Genomic DNA, 3,750 nt, shown 5'->3' with positions numbered 1-3,750 from the left:
AATTATTTTTTTAGAGACGGGGGCATCTCACTATATTGCCCAGGCTGATTGCAAACTCTTGGGCTCAAGTGATCCTCCCATCTTGGCCTCCCAAAGTGCTGGGCTTACAGGCACACACTGCACCCAGCCTAAGAATAATCTTATACTGGAAAAAAAACCTTTCATTTCAAACTCAAAAGAAGAGAAATAGCAGTCGTTTGCCAGCTTACTTCACTCTCGCTCATTTCCTGAAGTACAGACTGGATAGTCCCTGCTGTTTGCTCTGGAAATGGAAAAAGATGAGTCACGCTGATGAATGCAGCATAGTTTTGAGAGGAGCTTTGAGTAATTCCCACATGAAAAAGAACCCGAAATTAATCACTGGCTATTAACACAGGACAAGTGTTTGAATTAGTAGCCAACAAAATAAAACAAAACGTATTCAAACTTGTTTGGAACAGAGGATTTACACTTGAGACGTGTGTTCCAGACACAAGAAGTGTGTCTTCACACTGCATCAGCAGGAGTTCCACCAAGCACGGGCTCAAGGCTGTCAAGGCTATTTCAACTGCACAGACAGCACCAAGCTGCCACACAGACGGCACCAGGCTGCCACACACACGGATCTAGGAGTTTCAGTCTTGAGATTTGTAACTGCGATACTACGAATTGCTTTTTTAAAATTCTAGACAGGGCTCAATGGCTCACACCTGTAATCCTAGCACTTTGAGGGGCTGAGGCGGGAGGATCACTTGAGGTCAGGAGTTTGAGACTAGCCTGGCCCACAAAAGAAGACCCTGTTTCTACAAAAGATAAAAGAATTAGCCAGGCATCGTGGTGTGCACCTGTAGCTCCAGTAACCTGGGCGACTGAGGCAAGAGGATTGCTTGAACCCAGGAGTTCAAAGCTGCAGGGAGCTGTGATTGCACCACTGTATTCCAGCCTGGGTGACAGAGAAAGACCCTGTCTCAAATAAATAAATAAATAAATAAATAAATAAATAAATAAATATTCTATCAGTATCCCATAGTTTGATTTTTACCCTTAGCATTGGTAGCTAATGACAGCAGAAAGTATTAATAGATTACAAAAGCATGGTACTATTAACCTGAGAAGACAAAGTGAAATTTAAGAACACACCCTCTAAAAGCAAGACCTTCAGTCCAGTCTTACCATTGCATCCTGCAGTTGGAGGACCTGAAGTCTCGGAAATGTTGTCCAGGAAGTTCACCTCAAAGTCTTGCTGAACAGCAGTACTTGGGTGGTTTCCCATTATTTGGGGTCTCCCCCATGTCCAGAATTTTGATTGGTCAGCACACCCAGAGCTGCCCAGTCTCCTTCTAGCTAAATTCAGCAAATCCTGGAAATTGCTTGAGAATGCCAACCTACAAATTTACAATGAGAACCAAGGAATGAATTTCATAAAGTTGAATACATTTATGGTCATCCCATTAACAAGTCTATATAAGAAAACAATATATAAATGCAAGATTACTTTGTGAGCATAGAATAAAAATAGAAGCAATTAACTGGATGTTCTTAGTGGCTAAAATCAAGGCCCATAATGGCCAGGAAGATAGGGTTTAGGTAGTTATAATGTATGTCGGGCTCTTCTTTAAAGAGGGCAAAATTCAGGTTCAGGATGGGTTTGGACCTTGGTCCTGCCTGTTTCTGTTTGCATCACCCAGAGTAAATCACCAGATCTACATGAACCTGTGTCCTGATCTATACAGTGTTGATGTTTGTGCCTATTGCCAGGATGAGTGGAAGGACTGAGAGTTGAGACCTGTTAGGCTGCACACACATACTACATGACCAATCTCAGTCTGCTCTAGCCCTTGTCACTTCTCGGGTGCCAAGGCTCACATCCTTTGCAGTATGCAGTGTATACCTGTTCCAAAGGGCGGTATGATCAGAATCAGTGTTGTTCCAATGAATGAGATTCCCTCCAGGGTGCCAGGCATCCCCCAGGGCACATACAGGCCTTGAAGTATTGGTCTTCCTTCAGTGCCCACCTTGCTATTTCAGGTGATGTCACAGGCTTCCTGCATGTGGATGTCACAGACTCCTGGTTTACTCCCTGGTTTCTTTGTTGAGATGAATTCACTGATTCCTATTCCACGTGGATAGATCTTGATGGCCTTTCCATAGCTTACCAGTTTCCTCTTCCTTGGGTCCTACTGGGCTTTCTTTCTTTTACCCCAAGCCAGTATCTTGGTTTCTGCCAGTGTTGGAAATTTCTAGAAACTGATACAATTCGTGCAATAGGACTTGAAGTGCCTTGGAGGACAACATTGGCCCCACTCCAGCCCAGTTTGCTGTGTATGAGATATCTACAGCCTTCATTCAGAATACCAACCCACCACGACATGCAGCTGTAGGTGTTTAGGTAGCTCCTGGGTCTGTGGGTTGGCTGGGGTCAGCTAGCCTGGACTCAGCTTCAGTGGGGTGGCTCTGCACTGTGGGTCTGTCCTCCTCCTAACACTGGTAGGCCAGCTGGTCATACATATCCTTGGGAAGTGGCAGAAGTACACAGGTACAAGCAGAAACACATATGCACACTCGTGCCTGCTGCATCAAGTGGGCTAACAACCCCCTTGGCCAAAGCAAATCACAGGGTTCAGCCCATCATAAAGATGTGGGGAAGTTTCCCTGCCCATTGTGGGTGAGCACTGAGAAGCTACATGGTAAAGGGAGCAGATACTGGGAAGAACACCACATTCCCATTTGTTCTTACCTGTTTCCCAGCTGGTCAGAGGCTCTCATACCTTCGGTGCCTGGCACCAGTTCCCCTGAAGGTCCCTGCCAACCCTCATCCTGCCCTTATTCTGTGCTGCAATTGGCCACTTCTACTCATGCTCATGTCTCCCCTTGCTCCCCTTGCTCCTCATGCTCAGCTCCCCTCTCAGAGCTGCTGACTTCCATGGCCCCCAAATAAGTAGGGTCCCCCATTTCCTTCTTTCACACTGCTCTGAAGTTTTCCTTCCTAACACTTACTTCTGGGGCGAAAGGAAGTAAATTCTAGAATCAGAGGACCTCCACAGGCCTCTAAGGACCTGGGGATTCTCAGGTCTACATTTCTCGCTTTAGTGATGCATAGTCTGAGGCTCTGGGTGGATGGAACTCATGCTTACTTGGCTGGTGAGGAGTGGTCGAGAAAAAAATTTAATTCTGCTAACAAAGGCCGCAGGAGAAAAATGGACAGAGATCCTGACTAGCCAACTCATACAAGAAACACAAGCACTCAATGAGCACATAAAGAAAATAATATTTTACTTGCATTCATAACCAAATAAATAAAAGCAAATCATGTATATGTATATATGTAATTTTACTGGCTATAAATTTTCCGAACACTGAAATAACAAGCACATTTGGAGTTTATATAAAACATTAAATAGTACTGATGAATACTATGAATATTCAACTGGAATAGGACAACTAGAATAGTCCCTCAATGTGTTCCTTTGGTTAGTTTTTTTAGTTTATTTTGGAGGGGGGAGCATGTTAGTTTCAGCTCATCAGCAATATTTATGCCCAATGATCAGTTTGAAAAAAATGGAGCTGAGAGCCGCAGACAGAGACAATCGATCCACAGAAAACAAAGCAGGCAATCCATTGTTGCTAAGAAACGTCATCCTTAAAGGAACAGCAACTTAACTCATGCCCATCTGAAAACTTGGTCCAGATATTCCAAAGAGGAAGGGGAACCTACTCCAGGGTGAACCTGCTCCAGGGTGAACCTAACTCATGCCCATCTTCAAACTTGGT

At 44.5% G+C, this 3,750-nt stretch overlaps 1 long non-coding RNA gene across 1 annotated transcript; it reads right to left on the bottom strand.

Annotated features, from left to right (window-relative positions):
- Window positions 1–1,158: 1,158 nt before the first annotated feature.
- LOC105373932 (uncharacterized) lies at window positions 1,159–3,237 on the bottom strand. The gene is made up of 3 exons (XR_001739236.1): window positions 2,717–3,237; window positions 1,995–2,226; window positions 1,159–1,364 (listed from the first exon to the last, which is right to left on the bottom strand). It is a non-coding gene; the product is annotated as an uncharacterized LOC105373932 (long non-coding RNA).
- Between the last annotated feature and the right edge of the window lie 513 nt (window positions 3,238–3,750).

This window comes from Homo sapiens, chromosome 2 (genome assembly GCF_000001405.40).
Source record: "Homo sapiens chromosome 2, GRCh38.p14 Primary Assembly".
Lineage (NCBI taxonomy): Eukaryota > Metazoa > Chordata > Mammalia > Primates > Hominidae > Homo > Homo sapiens.
This window is presented reverse-complemented; position numbering and strand designations above follow the sequence as displayed.